The sequence below is a fragment of the Homo sapiens genome, chromosome 11, assembly GCF_000001405.40.
Source record: "Homo sapiens chromosome 11, GRCh38.p14 Primary Assembly".
Classification (NCBI taxonomy): Eukaryota; Metazoa; Chordata; class Mammalia; order Primates; family Hominidae; genus Homo; species Homo sapiens.
This window is the reverse complement of record NC_000011.10, coordinates 5687996-5712519: the sequence shown is the minus strand read 5'-3', so window position 1 is coordinate 5712519 and position 24524 is coordinate 5687996. Positions and strand designations below refer to the sequence as shown.

General features: G+C 39.1%; 1 protein-coding gene and 1 long non-coding RNA gene across 3 annotated transcripts, besides 5 other annotated features; one reads left to right on the top strand and one right to left on the bottom strand.

The window, feature by feature from the left end:
- Positions 1-1656: 1656 nt before the first annotated feature.
- Positions 1657-22730, bottom strand: TRIM22 (tripartite motif containing 22). Of its 2 annotated transcripts, none has more exons than NM_006074.5 (8): positions 22621-22730; positions 15865-16353; positions 15177-15272; positions 13975-14205; positions 5904-5926; positions 4247-4347; positions 3917-3943; positions 1657-3467 (listed from the first exon to the last, which is right to left on the bottom strand). In NM_006074.5, exons 2-8 carry the CDS (start codon positions 16285-16287, stop codon positions 2872-2874), a joined length of 1497 nt encoding a protein of 498 aa, NP_006065.2. In that variant the 5' UTR covers positions 16288-16353; positions 22621-22730; the 3' UTR covers positions 1657-2871. The 2 variants fall into 2 exon arrangements, with proteins under 2 accessions (NP_006065.2, NP_001186502.1); NM_001199573.2 differs by having other exon boundaries at positions 13975-14193.
- LOC124902620 (uncharacterized) lies at positions 19766-22293 on the top strand. The gene is made up of 2 exons (XR_007062561.1): positions 19766-21842; positions 22224-22293. It is a non-coding gene; the product is annotated as an uncharacterized LOC124902620 (long non-coding RNA).
- Positions 21426-22625: an enhancer, noted in NCBI's record as "MED14-independent group 3 enhancer chr11:5711125-5712324 (GRCh37/hg19 assembly coordinates)". NCBI's record gives its function as "activates an origin of replication core promoter dependent on BRD2, BRD4, P300/CBP and CDK7 cofactors, and independent of MED14, by STARR-seq in HCT116 cells {active_cell/tissue: HCT116}" and the evidence as "EXISTENCE:reporter gene assay evidence [ECO:0000049][PMID:35650434]".
- Positions 21426-23050: a biological region, named in NCBI's record as "MED14-independent group 3 enhancer GRCh37_chr11:5711125-5712324".
- Positions 21911-22010: an enhancer, noted in NCBI's record as "active region_4333". NCBI's record gives its function as "activates an Ori minimal core promoter by ATAC-STARR-seq in GM12878 lymphoblastoid cells {active_cell/tissue: GM12878}" and the evidence as "EXISTENCE:reporter gene assay evidence [ECO:0000049][PMID:35858748]".
- Positions 22058-23050: an enhancer, noted in NCBI's record as "NANOG-H3K27ac hESC enhancer chr11:5710700-5711692 (GRCh37/hg19 assembly coordinates)". NCBI's record gives its function as "activates a minimal SCP1, AML or CMV promoter by ChIP-STARR-seq in naive H9 embryonic stem cells {active_cell/tissue: H9 hESC(naive)}" and the evidence as "EXISTENCE:reporter gene assay evidence [ECO:0000049][PMID:30033119]".
- Positions 22597-22936: an enhancer, noted in NCBI's record as "active region_4332". NCBI's record gives its function as "activates an Ori minimal core promoter by ATAC-STARR-seq in GM12878 lymphoblastoid cells {active_cell/tissue: GM12878}" and the evidence as "EXISTENCE:reporter gene assay evidence [ECO:0000049][PMID:35858748]".

Below are 24524 nucleotides of genomic sequence, written 5' to 3'. Positions count from 1 at the left end.
TATGTATTCAGATTATCAATTTACATTTGATGGCACCTAAAGTTTTTCTTAAAACTCCTGCAGATCAGCATTTCCTGGGCTCTCCCTTCTGTCCCCATCTCCTGGGAAATTGGCTGCGGCCTTCTCCATGGCAGTGTGGTACAGAGGAGTGAGCATAGGTGCTTAGTAACACAGGCCTGGTATTAATCCTGCCTCTTCTACTCAATAGCTTTGGGACCATCAGGAAAACTCTAACAGCTTATTGACTCCTTCAACCCCTTTATATAAATTTCTCTTTGGCCAGGCACGGTAGCTCACGCCTGTAATCCCAGCACTTTGGGAGGCCAAGACAGGCAGATCACCTGAGGTCAGGAGTTCGAGATCAGCCTGGCCAACATGGCGAAGCCCCATCTCTACCAAAAATACAAAAAAAATTAGCCGGGCATGGTGGCACGTGCCTGTAATCCCAGCTACTCGGGAGGCTGAGGCAGGAGAATTGCTTGAACCCAGGAGGCAGAGGTTGCAGTGAGCAGAGATTGTGCCATTGCAGTGAGCCGAGATCGTCCCATTGCACTCCAGCCTGGGCAACAACAGCAAAATTCCGTCTCAGAAAAAAAAAAAAAAATCTCCTTTTTATGATATTTGTACAGATTATCTTGGATAATGTTCATGTGTGTATCTATAATATATTTATACATATTATTATATGTATATATACCTATATGTATAGATATATGAATGAATGTGTATACATGTCTATATCAATCTCAAGCCAGGCACTTTCACACTATTCCTTTCTTCAAAGTCCAACAAATCTTGATGTGAATTCTGTACAATGGCATAACCTGCCCTAATTTATAATGTATACATGATGGTTAATTTTACATGCTAATTTGACTGGTCATAGATTGCCCGGATTAAACATTATTTCTGGTGGTATTTGTAAGGGTATTTCTGGTTGTATTTGTAAGGGTGTTTCTGGTTGTATTTGTAAGGGTGTTTCTGAAAAAGATTAGCACCTGAATAGCTGGACTCAGTAATGGCTACCTCTCCAAAGCTTGCCCTCCCCCAAGTTGCTGGACATCATCTAATCCATAAAGGATCTGAGTAGGAGAAAGGGTTGAGGAAGAAGATATTTGCTTCTTTTCCTGCCGCAGTACTTGAGCTGAGACATGTCACCTCATCTTTTTCTGCCTTTGTACTGGCATTTATACCATCAGCTCCCTGGTTCTTAGGGCTTCAGAGACACACTGACTTATATCACCAGCTTTTGGGTCTCTGGTTTCCAAATGGCAGATAATGGGAAGTCTTAGCCTCCATAATCAAGTAAGCCAATTCCTCATAATAAATACATATCTCTTATTGTTCTGTTTCTCTGGAGAACCCCGACTAATACAATATATTTCTTCAAGAATGTTTTGTGTCTTTGCTATCCTAGGTAGTTCTACTACTCATCCTGTGTTTGAAAAAAGACTTAAAAAAAAAAAAAAAGAAAAGTACCTAGGATGGTAAATGCAATGGTACACACAAGTGTTTCATTACGAGAAACAGATCTGAACAGCATAAGGCTGTCTCTTATCAAGGACAGCTGAGCCTAGACATGACCTTCTTTACTGGACATATGGAAACTCATATTATCTGCAGCAAGATTTTGGAAACTGAAGAATGAGACTTCAGTAGAGCCAGCTATTGTTTTATTGAAGCAAAAAGAAAACAGAACAAAAACAAAAAATTGTTTCCCAAGACATTGAAATGGCTGACATCTTTTCAGTAATAATCAGAACAATATTTATTTTTATATTTAAAATTCATAGAAAAGTGCCTTACATTTAATAAAAGTTTGTTTCTCAAAGTGATCAGAGGAATTAGATATAGTCTTGAACACCAATATTAATTTGAGGAAAATACACCAAAATACATTAAGTAAATTATTTAAGATCATAGAGCTTGTAAGTGAAAAGATAAAATTTGACCTCAGAAACTCTGAGCATTAAAAATCCACTATTAGCAAATAAATTACTATGGACTTCTTGCTTTAATTTTGTGATGAATATGGGGTGTCACTGGTAAACCAACACATTCTGAAGGATACATTACTTAGTGATAGATTCTTATGTACTTTGCTAGATAACGTGGATATGAGTTGACAAGTTTCTCTTTCTTCAATCTTTTAAGGGGCAGAGGAAATGAGGAAGAAAAGAAAAGGAATTACAGCAATACTGTTCTTTCTATAGGAAGGATTAGATATGTTTCCTTTGCAAATATAAAAAAAATAATAATGTTTACTACTAGTGAAACCAAGGTATTAGGAAAATAATGTACAAGCATCTCTTGCAAGAAAGGGTAAGATTGTTATGAGTGAAATCGTGCCTTCCTCAAATTTATATGTTGGAGTTTTTATTCCCAATACCTCCAAATATTATCTTATTTGGAAATAAGGTCTTTGTAGAGAATATAATGTTAAAATGATTTCATTAAGGCATTAGCGGTGGGCCCTGAGCCAGTATGACTGGTGTCTTAATAAAAAGGGAAAACTTGGGCACAGAGATGTACATAAAGACAATGTGAAGAGTCATAGGGACAAGATGCCTTCTACAAGCCAAGGAGAGAGGCATGGAACAGAGCCCTTCCTTGCAGACCTCAGAAAGAACCAACTCTGCTGGAATCTAGATTTGGGATTTCCAGCCCACAGTACGGCAATACAATTACAGTTTAAATCAGCAATCTATGATGCTTTGCTATGGAAGCCCTAGCAAATGAATACAAAGACATTCTAAGTAAAAGAAGGGGAAAGAAAGGAAGAGATGGTCTCAGTAGAGATGAACTCAGGTGCAGAATCTGAGTCTCAGCACAAGGGCTACTATGCAGAAGTGGGTAAAGGAATGAGAACACTCAGGAGCTCGGTGGGCACACAGTCATGGGGACTAGGCAGTTCCAAGGATTGAAATACGGATAAGCAGGTCGAGAAAAGCGACATCCAGAGAACTTGTAGATGAGTGCTCCGTGGTTTGTGACATTGAAAAATGAGACAATGCCTGCCTCATAGTCTAGGAAAACCCCAATACGACAGGGAGGCACAGCCATAAAGAGAGTCAAAACCTTGGGATCAGAAGAGGAGGAGTCCTCAAAAGCATTATATTCACATGTATTCTGTAATCCTATAACCCAGTAGCCATATTGAGGTCTATATCTGGAGTAAACTTTTGAATAATTTACACTTGGATCAAAAGCAAACCCAGAGCTCTTCCTTTTATTCAGACTACTTATTTTACTGTGTACGCCCAGGATCCAGGCAATCTTTCCAGACACATCTACTTCCCAGTAATATTTCCCCGAAGAGAAATATTGGCAGCCGAAGACACCAAAAGCAGAAAAATCACATGGATTTGAATTCTTAAATGTGCAGGTGCGTACAGTTTTCACTTGTCTCTGATCCACAGAAATAGCAACATTCGAAGTGGCACTGCCTGGATTCAGCATCACGTCCACTGTAGAAAAAATTACCAAGTCAAGTGAAGGATATGGGATAGGTGTGTCTTACAGCATTGAGAAGAGACATATTGAAAATGAAACTTGTGTCGATATCAAACGGAACTTGTGTTGATAGTCAGAGGTTAGTAGGACCCTTAAGAAATACAGGGTGTAAGACTATAAAAATTAGCCAAGCGTGGTGGCACACGCCTGTAATCCCAGCTACTTGGGAGGCTGAGGCAGCAGAATCGCTTGAACCCAGGAGGCAGAGGTTGCAGTGAGCCGAGACCGCGCCATTGCACTCCAGCCTGGGCAACAATAGCAAAAATCTATCTTAAAAAAAAAAAAAAAAAGAACTACATGGTTTAAGCATGTTTGGGGAGGAACACATGAGACTCAGATTATGAGATCTAATAGTAACCACAATTCTGAAAGGAAGTGATTTGAAAACCCCATATCATCTTACCCCAGTAGTACTGGACATCTGTCAGCTCTGAAACGACAAAAGTTTCAGTGATGTTGTTAGAAGCAAATAAGTAAGTACTGACACCTGTCTCTTCTCCAGAGTAGGGAAAGGAAAGGGGGAATACTGGGATTCTTTGCACTGGTGAATGAGAGGATGAATCAGACACCTGGTCATTCCCCCTAAGACAGGACCACATCTACAGCACAGGATTTTCCTCCTTCTCTGGCCCACCTCCTCTCCTATATCCTAACCTAAAAAAACCTCCCGCTTCCCTATTGAGCCCTGATACTAAGAAATCCACATTCACAGCCTTCCCCTGAATCCCCTTACCTTTAAGAACTTGCAGCATCCCACTCAGATCTGGTACTCGGAATACACTCTTTAGTTTCTTGGAAACAGATTTTGGCTTCTTCAATGTCCAGCTTTCACTCCTAGTGATAACAAAAATTGATAACCTTTACACCTTTGCCCTATTTCTCTCCATCCAAGATCACTGTCTCTTTCACCTTTCACCATACTTGCTGACGCACTTGGACCCTCTTCCCTGAGGACAGTAGAGGGGAGATGCCTGACACTGGAGTCCAGAGAAATGTGCTCATGTCTACCTGTCTGTGTGTAATCTTGGGAAGGTCTTCCCCTCTGTGTAATCTTGGGAAGGTCTTCACTTCAACGATGTTCGCTTTCTTACTTTTAAAATGCAATAATTAACCCCATGCTTTCTACCTCTTAAAAATGAATATAAAATTAGATAAAATAATAATGCTTTTGTTTGTTTGTTTGTTTGTTTGTTTTGAGATGGGGTCTCACTCTGTTATCCAGGCTGGAGTGTAGTGGCGCGACCTCGGCTCACTGCAACCTCTGCCTCCCAGGTTCAAGCCATTCTCCTGCCTCAGCCTCCCAAGTAGCTGGGATTACAGGTGCCTGCTACCACATCCAGCTAATTTTTTTGTACTTTTAGTAGAGACAGGGTTTCACCATGTTGGCCAGGCTGGTTTTGAACTTCTGACCTCAAGTGATCCGCCTGCCTCGGCTTCCCAAAGTGCTAGCATTGTAGGCGTGACCCACTGCACCCAGCCAATAATGCTTTTAAAAGATATTCAGTGCCTCTAAAAAACTTATTTAATATTTAGAAAAGTCATTGCCATCTCAGTGGGTCCACCAGGAAGAGGCCAGAGATGTGGGTTCCTAGACAGGTGGTCATTAAGGAGGCCATAGAATCTGTCTCCTGAGTTGTTGAGAGATATCAAAGTAGGATCCTATATTGAAGAGCTAAAGGGTTTCCAAAATCTGTTATCCCAATATGAGACCTAGAGAATAATGTCTGAGGTTTCAAGTTATTTGGGGAAAGACAAATTACGATGACTAAATTAATTAATAGTGGTCTGATTTTCATGTGTTTAAAAAAACTTTGATGTTGCCAAGTAGGTGGGCAACTTTAGACACAAGAATATTATTTTTTCCTACAAGACGGTAAAGTATGTGAGCAAGAAAAGGTTATGCTAGCACCAGGACCAAAGCCACTATTCCTCAAGACTTGAATCTATTTTTCTAGAAATCTAAAAAGCACCACCTAGAAAGTTATTGTTTATTTTATTCTCAGGGAGGAAAACAAACATAAAGGCGCTGTCTCTGAAAAATTTGGAGTCTGGCATATAAAAAGGGCAGAGCCTCACTGCAATAAGACAGGCATCTATGCAATATGGAAACAACAGAGACAGAGGTTTGAATAAAGTGAGTGAAGTCATGGGGTTCTGATATTGCAAACTCTTATTCCTAAGGCCTCCGTCGACCCTAACTCTGTGATCTCCCAACACCAAAATTTCTTACAATTGAAAACTTTAATCTGTGACTAGCAATTTGGGACAATTTAATACACAAATTTCCCAGCCTTTTGATTTTTTAAGTTGTTCTGATTGAAGGAAGATATCTCTCAGGACTATAATTCTCTTTTCAGACAAATAAGACCACATCTCTCTTCCACATATACCTTTTCATGACGTCAATCACATCCTGGGGAAAAGATAGAAAACATGAGTCAAGATAGGGTTGCCAGATTTAGAACATAAAAGTGGCTAGTTCAATTAGAATTTGGGATAAACAATATATTTTTTGTTATATATATGACCCTTATAATATTTAAGATATTCTTATACTAAAAATATTACATTTCTTTTATCTGAAATTAAACTTTAACTGAGCATCCTGTATTTTGTCTAGCAATGCTCAAAAAAGTAATAGGCCCTCCTATCTTACAAAGTTTTATCCACCTTCCTCCCCACACTCTTACTATCCCTGGATATGGTGGGAATAAATAGATGGTCACAGACTGGGGACAAAGTGTGGAGATAAGATTCAGACTGACCACTGCAGAGGACTAAGATGAGGGTGTTAGGAAGATGCTTCAAGTATCTCAAGAAGGAATATATTTTAAAAAGAGGGAGGAGCTCTAATATTTTTATACATTTTTAATGAGAAAACCTCATTAATTCATTGTGTTTTTATTTTATACATCAACAGACACAAAACAGCGAAATACGTTTGCCCTATATTTTTTCAGGCTTTAGGGATCTAATGATGAAAATTAATAATAAAAGTCCTTAAGAAGTGTACTGTTGCCGTGAGCAAAAGCAAGCAAGCATTTCAACTAAAAGTTTGTCTGGCCTCCATGTACTCACTGTGTATGCTGACTAAACTCCACTGTAGGTGATCTCATACATTTTTCAGTATGAAACAAGCCACAGGACCAAGTAACTGAGTAGGTCTTAAATGTAACTTACTATTTCCCAACTATTTACACCCCACTGTCCCGAATAGTGTCAATATCCACTTAGTCATCATCTTTGAAACTATAAAATTTTATCCTGGATTCCAACATTTTATTAACCTAGACTAGTTTACATTTTTAACTGTTTTTAGCTATCTTTTCTTTCTCACCATAACCATTATTTCCTTTATTTTTTTGAACAAGTATGTACCAATATATTTGATCTCCCGCTGTCTGATCTGACCCCCTTTATACCAACAAAGACTTGACCTCCAGTTGACTTCACACCCTCAGAAATAGTTTCACTGCCTGTATTAGCTTTTTTGTTGTTGTAATATCTGACAAAACCAACTAAAACTGGTTTAAATTTTTAAAAAACAAATTCAAGGGGTCAAGTATAATTTTACTCATAGCTACATCTTTAAACTAAAATCTTGCCATCAGAATCTGGTTTTTCTTCTAAAAATTATATTTCATACCTATTATATTGACTTATTTTCAGATTAATTATGGCATCAGCTTGACTCTCCTGGTTTAAATTATTATCCCTGATATGATACCCATCAGAAAAGACAACGGCTCTTTTTACTCATGACAGTAAAATTCTAAGGCATGCAAACCATCGACTCCAATTGAGTCAAGTATATATCTTAAAATAATTACTGTAAAGTTGGTAAAAATATAAGAGTTGGATATAATGATTTGCCAGAACTGAGTAACATATACATGCCTAATGCTACTAATTTTGTCTACTTTAACCAACTGCAGGGAATGAGGCAGGGTAGGGATGGTTCCTCAAAAGTTATTATAAAGAAACAATCAAAAGGAATAGAGGTTAGACAGACAAACAAATATTGTCCTCTATGGTCCATTCCTCAGCTGTCTGCCACGTCTTCAGCCTTATTACCAAACTGTTTGCAAAAAATGGCACATTCCTCAGCTCTCTGCCACCTCTTCACCCTTATTACCAAACTGTTTGTGAAACAGGGCACAATATAATACAATGGCTACAATAACATTAAAAATAGATAACTTATACCATATAACCACTATAACTAAAAATAAATCAAAGACCTAAAGATATAAAACTCCTAGAAGAAAAGGGGAAAATTGCATGACATTGGATTTGGTAGTGATTTGTTGGCTATGATACAAAAAGTAAAGGCAATGTGAGAAAAAAATAAATAAACAGATCTTTACCAAAATGAAACTTTAAAAAAATCACTTTTAAGTTATGAAGAACACTATGAAGAGAGCGAAAAGGCAATCTACAGAATGGGAAAGCATATTTACAAATTATATGTCTGATAAGGTATTAATATCCAGAATCTATAAATGACTCCTAAAATTCAACAAGAAAATCAACATCCATTCAGATAAAACCTCTCAACAAACTGATAATAAAAGAGAACATCCTAAAAACTGATAAGAAACATGTATAAGTAGTATACAACTAATAACATAATTAATAGTGAAAGTCTGAATTACTTCCTCCTAAAATCAAGAAAAAGACTAGCGTGTGTGGTTTCACCACTAAGGTCAACATTGTATTGGAAGTTTTATCAAGTGCAATAAAGAAAAAAAAAGAAAGATAAAGAAGAAAAGAGTAAAAATAAAAAGAAATAAGACATCTAGCATGAAAGAGAAGTAAAACTATATTTGGTTTGGTAGAATGATTTATTTTCCTTTGGGTATATACCCAGCAGGGGGATTGCTGGGTCTAACAGTAGCTCTGTTTTAAGTTCTTTTAGAAACCTCCAGACTGCTTTCTACAATGGCTGAAATAATTTACATTTCTACCAACAGAGTACATGTTCCCATTACTCTGTAGCCTCACTAGCATCTGTTAATTTTTGACTTTATAATAATAGCCATTCTGACTGTTGTGAGATGGTATCTCGTTGTGGTTTTGATTTGCATTTCTCAGGTTATTAGCAATGATGAGCATTTTTTCATATGTTTGTTGGCCACCTGTATGTCTTCTTTGGATAAATGTCTGTTCATGACTTTTGCCCATTTTTAATGGGGTTCTTTGTTTTCTTGCTTGTAGCAAAGACATGGAATCAACCCAGGTATCCATCAATAGTAGACTGGATAAACAAAATGTGGTACATATACACCATGGAATACTACATAGTCATAAAAAAAATAAAATTTCCGGGCGCGGTGGCTCATGCCTGTAGTCCCAGCACTTTGGGAGGCTGAGGTGGGCGGATCACGAGGTCAGGAGATCGAGACTGTCCTGGCTAACAAGGTGAAACCCCGTCTCTACTAAAAATACAAAAAATTAGCCGGGCGTGGTTGCAGGCGCCTGTAGTCCCAGCTACTCGGGAGGATGCAGCAGGAGAATGGCCTGAACCCGGGAAGCAGAGCTTGCAGTGAGCCAAGATTGCGCCACTGCTCTCCAGCCTGGGTGACAGAGCAAGACTCCATCTCAAAAAAAAAAAGAAAAAAAAAGAATAAAATTATGTCCTTTGCAACAACATGGATGCAGCTGGAGGCCATAATCCTAAGCAAATTAACACGGGAACTGAAAATCAAGCACTGCATGTTCTCACTTATAAGTGGAAGCTAACTATTGAGCATACGTGGACATAAATATGGAAATAATAGACACTACAGACTACACTAGGGGAGGGAGGAGGGTGTGTGAGTTGAAAAACTACTGATTGGGTAATATGCTCATTACCTGGGTGATGGGATCTGTATCCCAAACCTCAGCATCACCCAATATTCCCATGTAACAAACCTGCACATATACTCCCTGTATCTAAAATAAAAGTTGCAGTTTTAAAATTAACTATATTTATTTACAGACAGCATGATTCAGTATGTAAATGATCTCAAAGAATATACACACACAAACACACAACTACTAAAACTAGTAAAAGTTCAGCATGTGGAATAAATATTAAAGTTTTGAAAGAATAACACCCATGACTCAAGAATTTTATATTCAGAAATTTTGTCCCGCAATAATGAAGGAAATACTTTGCCATAAACGTTAAAAGACATTATTCAGGGGGAAGAAGAGTATATGTCTGAAATTCAGATCTTCACAAAGAGAGAAAGAGCACTGAAAAAGAAGTAAAGGTAAATAAAATATTTTGTTTTTCTGATTCTCAACTAATATATAAGATAATGGCTTAAAGTAATAATATCAACAATGTAGTGGGCGATTACAGCTTATGGATAAGTGAAATGAATGACAGCAACGTTACTCAAGATTGAGGATACTCTGCTCTAAGGTACCTGCACTACATGTGAAGGGGTATAGTGTTATTTGTAATTAGACTTAGATTAGTTGTAAATGCATATTGCAAACTCCAGGGAAACCACTAAGCCTTTATATATATATGTATAGTGTTATTTATATTTTTAAAATATATTTTTATATATTTATAAAAAGTTTATATTTTTAAAATATTTTTATATTTCAAATATATTTGTATGTTTGTTTTATATTTATATATATACCTTTAGGCATATTAGTTATATTATTATTAGTTATATTAGTTATATTATTAGGCATATTAGTTATATTTATATATATACCTTTAGGCATATTAGTTATATATTATATATAACTATATATAATATAATATATATTAGTTATGTATACTAGTTATGTATATATAATATATAACTAATATATATTAGTTATGTATATGTAATATATAACTAATATATATTCGTTATGTATATGTAATATATAACTAATATATATTAGTTATGTATATTATATATAACTAATATAGCTATATTTGTGATGTATATTAGTAATATATAACTAATAAGCTAAGAGAGGAAAGAAAATTGAATAATATAAAATAATCAATTGAATAATACAAAATAGTTAAAAGAGGGCAGAAAAAGAGAGGAAGGGAAAAAAAAGCAAAGAGCAAGTACGGTCAATAGAAAACAGTGAAAAATGGTAGGCGTTTTAATTTTCTGGGGTTGCTCTAACAACGTAGCAGCACAAACTGTATGGTTTTTAAACAACCGAGATTTAGTCTCTCACAGTTCTTGAGGCTAGGTTCAAAATCAGGATATTGGTAATGTTGGTCCCTGCTGTAATCTGTTCCACGCTTCCCTATTAGCTTCTGGTGGTTGCTGGTACATTGATTTTGGGCTCTGAGCTTTCAGAACTATGAGACAATTTTTTTGTATGAGGTTTTAAGTTATAAAGTTTGTGACAATTTCTTACAGCAGCCACAGGAAATGATTACCGCTACAGTTGTACCTGAACAGCACACTATATAGCAACTGATTTAAATGGCATTCATAGAATATTCCATCTAAAGGCAAATATCTATTCTTCTCAAGCTCACATTGAAAATTAACCAAGCTATAACACATTCTATACCACAAAATACACGTTAACAAATGTAAACAATTGAACTCATACAAAATGTTTTCTTACGCAACAATAGAATTTAACTAGTAATCAGTAACAGACAGCTGTAATACTCCAAAATATTAAGCAACACTTTAAAAATAGGCTTAGTGGGTTTTATTGGTAAACTGATGAATTCTACCAAAAGTTGGAGAAGGAAATTATTAAAATTCTCCCCAAATTTGTTTCAGAAAATGAAAGGAGATGGACTATTTTGTAACACATTCTATGAGGTCAGCATTACCCTAATCCAGAGCCAAGTAAAGACATTATGAGAAAGGAAAACCAGAAACCAGTATCTCTCATGAACACAGATGCAAAAATTCTCAACAGTACGTTAGTAAAACAAATCCAACAAAATATATATAAAAATTGTGCACCACAAGTAAGTGGGATTTATTCAAGGTATGCAAGCTGGTTCAATCTTTGAAAATTATTAATGTAATCTCCCATATCAATAAAGAAGAAAAATCATATGATTATATCAACTGAGGCAGAAAAGCTATTCGACAAAATTCACACCATTCATGATAAAAAGTCTCAGCAAACTAGGAATAAAGAGGAAGTTTCTCGGCCGGGTGCATCTGAGGTCAGGAGTTCAAAACCAGCCTGCCCAACATGGCAAAACCCTGTCTCTATTAAAAATACAAAAATTAGCTGGATGTGGTGGTGGGCGGCCTGCAGTCCCAGCTGAGGCAGGAGAATCGCTTGAACCCGGGAGGCAGAGTTTGCAGTGAGCCGAAATCGTGCCACTGCACTCCAGTCTGGGTGACAGAACGAGACTGCGTCTCAAAAAAAAGAAAAAAAGAGGAAGTTTCTCAACTTCATTACAAATCTGAAAAAAAAAAAAAAAAAAAAAGACTCCTATAGCTAACATCATACTTATAAGTGAGAGACTGAGTACTTTCCCCCTAAGGTCAGAAAAAAGGAAAGGATATCCCCTCTCACCATCCCTGTTGAACATTGTACTAGAAGTCCTAGCTAGTGTAATAAAACAAGCAAAGACAAATAAAAACTATACAAACTGCTGGCCAGGCGCGGTGGCTCACGCCTTTAATCCTAGCACTTTGGGAGGCCAAGGCGGGCAGATTGCCTGAGCTCAAGAGTTCGAGACCAGCCTGGGCAACACAGTGAATCCCTGTCTTTACTAAAATACAAAAAAAATGTAGCCAGGTGTGGCGGTGTGCGCTAGTCCTGGGAGGCTGAGGCAGGAGAATTATTTGAACCTGAGAGGTGAAGGTTGCAGTGAGGTGAGATTGTGCCACCACATTCTAGCCTGGGTAACAGTAAGAGACTCCGTCTCCAAAAAAATACACCAAAAAAAAAAAACCATACAAACTGCAGAGTATGAAACAATTAACTTTATTCTCAGATGACATGATTCTCCATGTAGAAAATGCCAAAGAATTGACATTAAAAAAAAAACTCTTCTATGACTAATAAGTAATTATAGCAAGGTTGCAATATACAAGATTAAAATACTAAAGTCAGTTTCCTTTCTATGTGCCAGCAATGAAGAATTGAAATTTGAAATAAAAAAAAAATTACAATAGCACCAAAAGTAAAACAGAAAAAACTCTTTAAAAAGGTACAGAATCTACATGTGGAAATAATAAGCTTTTCAGCAGTGTTAGTTATTAGGAAAAAGCAAATCAAAACTGCATTGAGATACCATTATGTTCCCACTAGAAAGGCTGTAACTAAAAAAAAAAAAAAAAAGGAAATAATCAAGTATTAACAAGGATGTGAAGAACCTAGAAACTTTTTATATTGCTTTTTATAAGCTTTTGTATTGTTACTCATATAAAGTGAGTAACAACTTTGGAAAATAGTACGACAACTTAAAACTTATACATAAACAACATACAACACTCTTTTTTTTTTTTTTTTTTTTTTTTTTTTTTTTTTTTTTTGAGACGGAGTCTCGCTCTGTCGCCCAGGCCGGACTGCGGACTGCAGTGGCGCAATCTCGGTTCATTGCAAGCTCCGCTTCCCGGGTTCACGCCATTCTCCTGCCTCAGCCTCCCGAGTAGCTGGGACTACAGGCGCCCGCCACCGCGCCCGGCTAATTTTTTGTATTTTTAGTAGAGACGGGGTTTCACCTTGTTAGCCAGGATGGTCTCGATCTCCTGACCTCATGATCCACCCGCCTCGGCCTCCCAAAGTGCTGGGATTACAGGCGTGAGCCACCGCGCCCGGCCACAACATACAACACTCTTAAAATCTACTCAAGATAAATGAAAACATGTTTGTATGAGGACATGTAAGTGAATGTTTACTGTAGCATTATTCATAATAGTCCCTAACTGGAAAATATTCATATAGCCACCAACTGGTGAATACATAAACATAATATGATATATTCAGATAATGGAATAGTATTAGCAATAAGAGCAAAATGCTGATACATACTGCAATATAAATAAACCTCAAAATATTATGCTAAGTTAAAGATGCCAGATGCAAAAGACTACATGTTTTATAATTCAATTCATATTGAAAGGTCCAGAGAAGCCAATTCTATACAGACAGAAAACAGATAGGCTGCCAGGAGGTGGAGGTAGAAACAGATATTGACTGCAAACAGGCATGAGAAATGTTTTTGATGTGATGGGAAAGTTCTAAAACTGATATGCTCATGGTACAAAGAATCCTCTCCAAGCTCAAATTTTTACACTGCTCTCATAAGTGAATAATAATGGGAATTTCCCTTCCCATTCATACACTTAATGATCTCTGTGACCCCTGAAATGATGGGCATAAAAGGGGCATGCCGGGCCAAAGGAACCATTTCATGTCACCACACAGAAGAAAGCCTAGAGACTGGGAAGGGAAGGAAAATCGGCCTCTGTGTTTTTCCCCTAATCTCTTACGTAGGTGCTCCATCCCAAGTCTTACCTGCAGCATCTCTACTGACGATCCCCTCAACCTCCGCTGGAGATCTGAGATGAGCGTGCTGGCATCCTGCCTCTGCTGGACCAGCTGGTCTGTAGCTGCTGCCAGGTTATCCAGCACATTCACCTCACCTTCCTCCAGCTTTTGCAGCTCTCTCTGCTCCTCATTGTCCAAGATGACTCTCATTTCATTGAACCCTTTCAGAATCTTCTGTCTCTCGATCTGGATATAATTCTTGGGAATGAAAAGAGAAAGAGGCAGTCAGTCTGGCTGGTTGAAGGCCTGCTTTGTATGAGCCTGGGAGACAGGATAAGAACAGTTTTCCTCAGGGAGTTCTCAAAAGGAATAGGAGGCAAAAGCCAATACACAATTTCTGGTGAAGCCATGTTTTTCTACTTTTTAACCTGAGCTCCTCCCAAAGCAATACACTCAAGTCAGTTTTATTGAGGCCTAATCTGAGACAAAATGTGATGCCTGGGTGAGGCTTGGATTGTAGACACCTGTCCTGAACAACTTTGCCTTTCTGTATCTTAAATCCCTCTACCTGGCCTGGCACAGTGGCTCATGCCTGTAATCCCAGCACTTTGGGAGGCTGAGATGGGTGGATCACAAGGTCAGGAGATTGAGACCATCCTGGCTAACATGATGAAACCCCATCTCTACTAAAAATACAAAAAATTAGCTGGGCATGGTGGCACATGCCTGTAGTCCCAGCTACTCGGGAGGCTGAGGCAGGAGAATCGTTTGAACCAGGGAGGCAGAGGTTGCAGTGAGCCAAGATCGCGCCACTACACTCCAGCCTGTATGACAGAGAGAGACTCTGTCTCAAAAAACAAACAAACAAACAAAAAAATCCCCCTACTGAAACCCCCTAAACAGGGAATCCTGGGTCTTTCTCCAGGGTGTTTACTGGAAGGATTGGAGCCTCAAACCTGATGACACAAATGGAACACAGGATTCACAGGAAGCGTTTTCACAGATATTTCCCTCCATGCCTTCACTTCCAAATATAGTGTTGATTTATGATATGTCTACTCTCCAGCCCCTAAACTCCAACAGGGAAGGAGTTAAATTGAGACCTAATCAAATGACTTCTATGCTTGTTAATTCTAGCACAGCAAAGAGGAAGGGGTCTCCTTGTGATAGAGCCCAGGGTCCTGCCCAGATTCCTGTCTAATTATCCCTTAGGAGGTGTCTCCTCCTGCCTTCCAGGCGGTTCTCTCTTGTCTGATGTCATCTTCCAGCTTCTCAGCCTCTTGATCCTCCTTTATCAGCCTCTGCAGGGCTACCTGCAGCTTTTCCTGTAAGAAATAAATTATACCAGAGTAAAGTTATGAGCTTTCTCAGCACCTGAATAGAGGACAGCAAGGAAGAAATTGGATGGCTCTCAGAAGAAACTAGTTTACAGAAACAGTGAGGCTGGTGATTAGAACCTATGGCATGGGGGAAAATCTGAGGAGATGAATGTATTCTTTATTCCTGGATGATGGAAGTCACCATCCTCTTATCAAGAGTAGCCTGATTCTTTTCCTAGAGAAAAAGCAGACCCTGCAGTAAGGAAAGACGTCCTTTCATTGCCACTCTTCCCACATCTAACCAGACGTGTTCCCAAAAATACTGTTCTTCTTGGAGGGGCAATGAAAGCTTATCTTACAAAGCAATTCTCCATTCATTCAACTTTTCCTTGCTAAAAATTTGTACTCTTTTTTAAATAAAACAATGTGCAGCAGTGTCCTTCAGGCATCAGAAACTAAGCAAAGAGTATGGAAAGAGATCACAGGGCTCTCCGTTCTATGGTGACAAGGGGAATAAAGCAGGACAAAAAAAGTGGAGATTTCACATTAGGTACCATCTTCTGCTCTCTGCTCTCTCTTCCTCTATCTTGGAGCCTACCTGACATTCCTTGACCACCTCGTTTATGCGGAATGTTTGGTGACCTTGGTGTTCCTGAGACAGTTCACAAACCCAGCAAATGACTTTTCCATCCTCCTTACAGAAGATCTGGAGTTTTTTTCCATGGTGCTCACAGACATCTCTCTTCTGCCCCTCCTGTGGGCTCATCTTGACCTCTTTGACTCTCTCAACTATGTTGGCCAGATGCCGATTAGGTCGGAGGTTCCCAGGCTGGAATCTGGTCTGACACACAGGACAGCTGCTTTCCCCTCTTGAGATGATCACTGACTCCTTGATCTTTGCAGTGATGCAGGCTTGGCAGAAGCTGTGGCCACAATCTAGGCTCAGAGGTTCTGTCAGGAGCTCCAGGCAGATGGGGCAGGTCACCTCCTTCTCTATGTCTACCTTTACTGAGAAATCCATTGCACTGCTCCCTTGGCTTCCTTCTGTCTTGACTCTTGAAGTTCTTGGTCACAAACTCCTGCAGTGCTGAGAATGTTGAAGGGGACAGGGTAAGAAAAGAAGGAATAGAAAGAATACTGCTTTTACAGAGATTTAGAACAGGACAAAACATTAATATTTAACAGAGAAAGGAGAAAAGAAAGGCATGAAGAATAAACCAATGACAGAATAAAATGGACTTTGTAGTAATTTCAAACACTTTATTCTTAATTTTTGTCTCAGGACAAATTTCACCCCATCAAGGCAATTATTGTTATTTTCTCTTCTACTGGAGAGGACAAACTGAGGCTCTTCTACCAAGAGCTTCGTGTAACCCATCATTTGTCCTGCCTTTTGTTCCCCAACCCAAAACACATTTTCCATGTTAAATGCACTAAACACACCCCTGCCCCTGGGCTTGCACACAGGCTTTTCTCTCTGAATGGCATGATTGTATCCCCAATATTTGCATGATTCATGAATATTTGCATATTTTTAAGCTATTGAATTGTATTTACATAGCATCAAACACTGCATCAAACATCATTTTTAAGTGTATCATGCAATAATTTCTAGTAAATCTGTGGAACTATATAACTATTACTGTAACCCAATTTAAAATTATTTTTATCACCTGAAAAAAAAAAACCCTAATGCCATCACTCCTATTCTGATCCCAAGCTCCAGGCAACCACTACTAATATCCTTTGGGTTTTTAATCAGTTGATAAAAATAGAATCATAATATATGTCTTTGGTGTCTGAATTATTTTACTTATACTGTTAAGGTTTATCTCCTCTGACTTTTTTCCCCATGTAAAAAATACCTCCTCAATTAAACTATCAAATCTATGGCTCCTCAAGGCTTTTGCACTTGCTCCTCTCTCTGCATAAAATGATCCTCCCCCTGATGTTAGCAAGACTCACTCTTACATTTAATTCAGTCTCCTCTTAGAAGTCCTCTTCTTAGAAGGACATACTATAATTTACTTATAGCAAAACCACCAGTACTGTCACTCACTGCACATTTAGCTTCTTATTTTTACTATGTAATATATAAGATTGTTCTTTAAATGTCTACTTCTTCCTCCTGAAAAGTAATCCATTCATAGACCTGGGACTTTTTTTGTTCACTGATATGTCCTCTATACCTAGAAAAGTGAATCACATACAGGAATAAAACATTTAACGAATATATAAAGCCACAACTTCCTTATCCCTCCATAGATGATTAGACCTTTTAATCAGATTTTCATCTTTTCTTTCCATCAATTAGCAGTTTCCCAATAGCTGACCTTTGGGACCACAATTATGGTTTCCAGTGAAGAAGTGTTTACATCCTAACACATCTACCCATAGCAAGTCCTCCCATGACCTCACACTCCATCCCCAAAGACATACACACACACCCACACACCACCACCACCAACACCATAATAGGAAAATAATTTTATCATGAACAATTTTATAAGCAGTTACAATTTAGAAATCATTTTGACTTCTTTATTCTTCATACAAAACCCTTGAGAAATAAGAATACTCCCTTTCTTCAGGTGTGTCAATAGAATCAAGTGACTTACAAAGATCACTCATTCTAATCTAATAGGTAGAGTAAGAGTGAATGTATTGTCCCCAAGGTCCTCCTTCAGAGTTCTCTCCACTGCAGCACAGATTTATACAGACAACAAAGGTAAAGGCTACAAGAGCTATACTGATACCCAGTGCTATTGGGGGTATAGAAATGGAGAGATCCAGACCAGCTATGTAGTTCTGGGGCATGCTGTGGTTTTAAATGTTGAAATTTCACCTTGGCCTGGACATATGGCAAGGATGGTGATAGGAACCTAAAGATGTATATATTTTGGGAAGAGGAAAAGAGGCTAAAATAGTTATAGGATCACACACATGATATAGACTCAATATACATTTCAAAGAAACATCTGTTGGTCATGGGAGAAAAGTCTCAATCCATAAAGGAGGCCAAGTACATTGAGAATATGTAGCAGAGAGATAAAGTCTGTCCTGTTTCTCCCCAAATGATGTTGAAATCCTAATGTGTGAATGTGCTCTTATTTGAAACTAGTATATTTAAATACTATTTAGTTACCATGTGCTCATTAGGGTAGACCCTTATCCAACATGACTGTGTCCTTATCAAAAAGGGACATTTATACACAAGGAATATGCCAGGGTGAAGAAGAAAGCAGAGATCAGGGTGATGCACCTATAAGCCAAGGAATGCTAAAGGTTTCCAGGAAACTATTAGAAGCTAGAAGAGAGGCATGGACCAGAGGCCTCCTTCATAGCCTTCAGAAGGAACCAGCCCTGTCAACACATTTTATCTTGGATAACTAGCCTCCAGAATTGTAAGGCAATATATTTCTGCTATTTAAGCCAACCACTTTTGGTACTTTTTCTATGACAGCTCTAGAAAACTAATACAAGTGCTTATTTTTCTTGATTTATTCATTCTTTTTTTTTTTTTTTTTTTTTTGAGACGGAGTCTCACTCTGTCACCCAGGCTGGAGTGCAGTGGTGCGATCTCGGCTCCTTGCCAGCTCCGCCTCTCGGGTTCACGCCATTCTCCTGCCTCAGCCTCCAAGTAGCTGGGACTACAGGCGCCCGCCACCACACCCGGGTGATTTTTTGGTGTCTTTTTAGTAGAGACGGGGTTTCACTGTGTTAGCCAGGATGGTCTCGATCTCCGGACCTCATGATCTGCCCGCCTCGGCCTCCCAAAGTGCTGGGATTACTGGCGTGAGCCACCGCGCCCGGCCTATTCATTCTTTATTCTAACATTGAAGAAATGTAGCCCCATTGAAACCCTTCCGACCTAAGACAGGTAGACAGACAGACACATAAACAAAATGCATGCTCCCCTTTGAAGGTGGTGCGAATGTAGAAGTTTCTATGACACGGTGAAGGCTAACTAGGTCCGTAGCTTCCTTGTTTCAGAATACTCTGATTACCTGCACAGAAGCTTTCTTTATCTGTGCAATTTAAATCAAAAAAAAAAAAAAAAAAAAGATGGCCAGGCGCTGTGGCTCAAGCCTGTAATCCCAGCAGTTTGGGGGGCCGAGGCGGGCAGATTACCTGAGGTCAGGAGTTTGAGGCCAGCCTGGCCACTATGGTGAGACCCCGTATCTACTAAAAAATATATATATATACAAACATTAGCCAGGTGTGACAGCAGTTGCTTGTAGTCCCCGCTACTCTGGAGGCTGAGGCAGGAGAATCACTTGAACCCAGGAGGCGGAGGTTGCAGTGAGCTGAGATCACACCACTGCACTCCAGCCTGGCAACAGAGCAAGACTCCGTCAAAAGAAAAAAAAAAAAAAAGATTAAATTAAATTAGTGTGGCTACACAATAAGGAGAAAAATTATAAGGGGTTTAGCCATCAATATCTTTTTTTTTTTTTTTTGAGACAAGGTCTCACTGCGTTGCCCAGGCTGGTCTCAAACTCCTCAACTCAAGCAGTCCTCCAGTCTTGGCTTCCCAAAGTGCTGGGATTTTTGGCTAGGCTTTGGCACAAGCCACCAGGTGCCTGGCCTAGCCAACATCTTTTAAATTTCCCCTGTTCCTTGGGTCAGGAACTACCAATGGAGAAAATAGGTCCTGTTCTTGGCATGCAGAAACCTGGAGAACTCAGAAACACCGTTACCACTTCTTATTTGTCTAAACTCAGAGTTCCTTTTTCAATGACCCACTAAAATGTCCAGGGTTTAGTTTTCCCCAAGTAATGACCCTTTTTCCAAGAGTTCTAACTCTCTGGTCAATATGTTTCAGATAAGTCATTTTGTAACAGAGGACAGATTTCATAAAGCTACCCCAGTGTCATCTCTTTCTCTCACAGTTAGTTCATCAGTTCTTAAATCCATCATTTTATTGAAGACTGCTCAAAATCATTGTCTCACAGTGAGACCTAATGTGAAATCTATTTAAAGTTGCAAAGCCCTTGACAAGAGCACTACAGATACCACATCCTATTGCAGCCCTTTTAGTTTGTTGCTTTTGTTTTATTGGTTTTACATTTATCCTCTAGTAACTGCTACCTTTTTGCTACATTAAAACTGCTGGTTTACTTCCTTTTTTTGACTGCGTGTTTACTTCCTTTTCCCTAGTCCAGAGCATAATCTCTTACCGGTATTTAATGTTGATTATATATCGAATAGATAGTTTTTTTGTTTTTGTTTTTGTTTTTTTACTATACCTGTATGCTTTTGTTTTGTGAATTTAGTCAAAAATATTTTTCAAAAATTAAAAGTACAGTTTTATTTATTGGGTCCTGTACTAGACTTGACAATGAATAAATACTAGATATGGACCTTGACAAGATGTGCGGTACAGACACATAAGGAGACAGTTACCTGGACCTCTGAAAAGTGAAACAAAGAAAAGGACACATCAGAATATGGGTGACATAGGCATCAAGGTACAAAATGCTCAGCGATAAGATCGAGATAAGACTCAGGAGAAATTACCAACTCCTTGCCTTAGCTCTGTGCAAGGGAAAATTGAGTAGGGAGTTGAGGTAACTCATGATGAAAAGGTGTACCTAGAATAATAGCAACTTCTAAAACAGGAGTGGATACCAGAGGTTCATTGGGTGCTACAGAAGTTGAGGGAGGAGACCACCTCTCATATTGTCTTATGCCCAATTTCTGCCTCCAAAGAAAGAAAAAGTAAAAACTAAAAGGCAGAAATGAAATCCACAAGCAGACAGCCCGGGGCCACACCCTGGACCTGGTAGTTAAAGATGGACCCCTGACCTAATTGGTTTGTTATCTATAGATTCCAGACATTGTATAGAAAAGCACTGTGAAAATCCCTACTCTGTTTTGTTCCGATCTAATTACCGGTGTATGCAGCCCCCAGTCACGTACCCCCTGCTTGCTCAATCGATCACGACCCTCTCACGCGGACCCCCTTAGAGTTGTGAGCCCTTAAAAGGGACAGGAATTGCTCACTCGAGGAGCTCGGCTCTTGAGACAGGAGTCTTGCCTATGCCCCTGGCCGAATAAACCCCTTCCTTCTTTACCTCGGTGTCTGAGGAGTTTTTTCTGTGGCTGGTCCTGCTACAAAGGAAGAGTAAGCTGTGGGTACTCAGAAGAACAAGTTCCCTGTGACTGGACCTTCAGAGACAAGAGACCAAAGTGGAGCTGCAGAGATGAGCAGCAGTCTGCCCGTCCTGCGGCCTCTCTCCTCGGACTAACCAGAGGGCTGCTAATTTATCAGGAAAGCTATGGACAGCATCCAAAAAGTTACCAGAAGGCAAGTAAAAGGATAACCTTCAAAAGGGCCTTACTTCTGAAGACTGAGTACCTAAGACTCCTTCGCCTCATACCCAGATCCAGATAAGGGCTCTCATCCCTGCTGAACCTCATCATGAGGTTGCTTTATGAAAAGTGAAAACAAAGCTTCATTGCACAGGCTTCTTCGGGAGAAAGGAGGAAGGAATTTGCTGCCTCTGAATAAAAGAAAATTCTGATCCACGTTGGCAAAATGGAAAAATCAAAATGACAGAATAGGAATGTGGGGTATGATAAGGTTTCTCTTCAAATAGCCTGATCAATCCTTTATTCTTTAATTCACAGTGCCCCTCCCCACTTCACTTTTCTTCTCTTCTCTTTCCTTTCTGCTTTTGCTACATGCCTAGACATGTCACAGTACCAGGCGTTATCAGTACCAACTCACATTCCTTTCCTTATTTTGGAAGAAGATTAGTTATCTAGCTCATCACACACACCCCTTCCCCATCTCCCCTCTCTCCCTCACGTGCCCACCTTATCTAAAGAAAGTTAAAATGTTTAGCCAACTGAGTCTAGTTTAGATTGTGTGGCCGACTCCAGCCAATGGGGAAAGGGCAAAGGGGTAGGATTTGCGTCAGGAATAAAAACTTTCTTCCTCCTTTGTTCTAGTGTGCTCTCATGGCGACTGGCAAAGAAGAAGCACCCCTCTGCACAGAAATAAAATTGCTTTGCTGAGAAATCCTTTGTTTGAGTGCTCGTCTCCCTTAAGATTCTGAGCTTTATTTCCAACAAGGAAGGTGATGGAGGTACCTAGATTGAAGAAATGAATGGTCCCTCTAGGAAACAAGCAAGGCTTTTTGCTTTTGCAAACCTCTCTTCTTTAAAGGTTACCCCTCTCCCAGACTCAGTGCTTTCTTCCTCTGCCATCTCAGCAGACAGTTCACAAGCTGCCTCTTTTTGTTTATGCAGAGCAGCTTCAGAACTACAAATTAAACTCACCCAGACACAATCAATCTATTCTTCTCAAAGCCTCCCATTCTATGCTCCCACAGATTGCTCCACTCACCTTCAGTCCAAAGCAGAGGAGTCTTGAATCAGGGGAGAAGAGTGAAGGCAGGGCAGGAGCCGGTGTAAACCAGATTCACTCACCAAGCCAGAGGGCTGGTCTCCACAAATGAGTTTCCCCACAGGAGCTGAGTGAGAAACGAAAGTTAAATTCTCAGAAGTGAAAGAAAACAAAGGAAGCTGAACAAGAACTTACATAACAATAAACCCTGGGGAAAGTAATGCTACATTATGTTCTAGCATCTGCTGTACTGGCAAGGCACTCAGTCACTACTTCCTTATTCTTACTGTGGTTTACTCAAGCAAGAATATTTGAATAAAAAGAATGTGAATTACAGTTATACAGCTTGCCTGAATACTTAGAATTCCAATGCAGTCCTATAATTATTAGTCGAATTTATCTTATATTTAAGACCTAAGCCAGGAAAATAAAGATCCAGAGACTTGGGACCTAGCTTCTTGAAATGCAGTCTGACGAGGAAGATACTCAGTTATAAAGCTCTACAAATTTGGGCTGACAAGATGAGTATTAGCAGCTGACATTGTGAATGGTAAAAAAATTATTTTTATAAATAAAAGGATCTTTAGTGTGAGCCCATTGAAAAAAATGTTCTCAAAATGTCATTAAATCTTAAGAGTCCATCAATTAATTATCACTTCCTGCTCCTAATCCAGACAGACCAGATGAGGATGGATTCCAGAGAGTAATAGAGGTAAAACTGTGTCAGTGTCATGTTACCCAGCCACTGAGGCAGGTGAGAACATGGAAGTTAACAGATGATGCTGTTTAATTATAATCATTCATTGAGTTACTCTCATGCCTTCATAATTTTTCCACTTTTCCCTGCTTCTCTAAGAAAAGTTTGGTCATTTTTACACAATCAATTAAAAAGCAGCACTGAAACATGTTATACGTCATGCACATACTTCTGTACCCTGTTGTCTATTGTATTCTTGTTTAACTGCATGTGCCAGATAATGCCATCAAAAACTGATGGAGGCCTGTGGTGTCTCATGCCTGTAATCCCAGCACTCTGGGAGGCCCAGGTGGGTGGATCACTTGAGTCCAGGACTTCAACACCAGCCTGGGCAACATGGTGAAATCCCATCTCTAAGAAAAATTAAAAAAAAAAAAATAGCTGGGTGTGGTGATGTGCACCTGTAGTCCCAGCTACTCAGGAAACTGAGATGGGAGGATGGCTTGAGCCCAGGAGGTGGAGGTTGCATTGAGCCAAGATTGCGTCATTGCACCATAGCACTGCAGCCTGGGTGACATAGTAAGACCCTGTCTCTACAAAAAACAAACAAACAAACACCACACAACACATACACACACACACCCAAAAAAAAAGAAAAAAAAAGGCAACTCATGGAGCTTCCATAACATGGATCCCTGACTGACACTATGGAGCATGGCCATCTTCATACTTTAATCAATGATACACATGTAGGATGACTGAGAAATCAATGTTTATTATTTCAATAATAGATATTTTGGTATTATTTGTTGCTCACAGAATAATAAGCTAATCCTGGCTATAAATTCTTTCCTACTCACTTATATCTATGAGGACCTTATTCAATCAGCTGAAAGCCAGAATAGAAGAAAAAACTGACTTCTCCCCGAGAAGAGGGAATATTACCAGCAGGCAAACCTCAGGCGTGAGCTATAACGTTGACTCCTTCTTGGATCCAGAGCCTCTTGGCCTACCTTGCAGACTTTGGATTTGCCAGTCTCCAGAATCACCTGAGACATTTCTCAAGTTTCTTTCCAAATAAATTCATAGTTTAGTGGTTCTATTGCTATGATGAACCTTGACTAAGACAGGCGTGAAATTTTCTTATTTCTTCTTGAAGATAAATAAGCAAGAGATGTAATTTTAGGTATATTCCATGTTTGAATAG

Excerpts from the sequence above, each read along its gene's own strand:
- TRIM22 (NM_006074.5), bottom strand. The coding sequence starts at position 16,287 with ATGGATTTCTCAGTAAAGGTAGACATAGAGAAGGAGGTGACCTGCCCC. Across the intron at positions 3,944-4,246 it reads GATGCTGCAAGTTCTTAAAG|AGCTGACAGATGTCCAGTAC; the intron begins GTAAGGGGATTC and ends TTGTCGTTTCAG. Across the intron at positions 3,468-3,916 it reads AGATGTCCAGTACTACTGGG|TGGACGTGATGCTGAATCCA; the intron begins GTAAGATGATAT and ends TTTTTTCTACAG.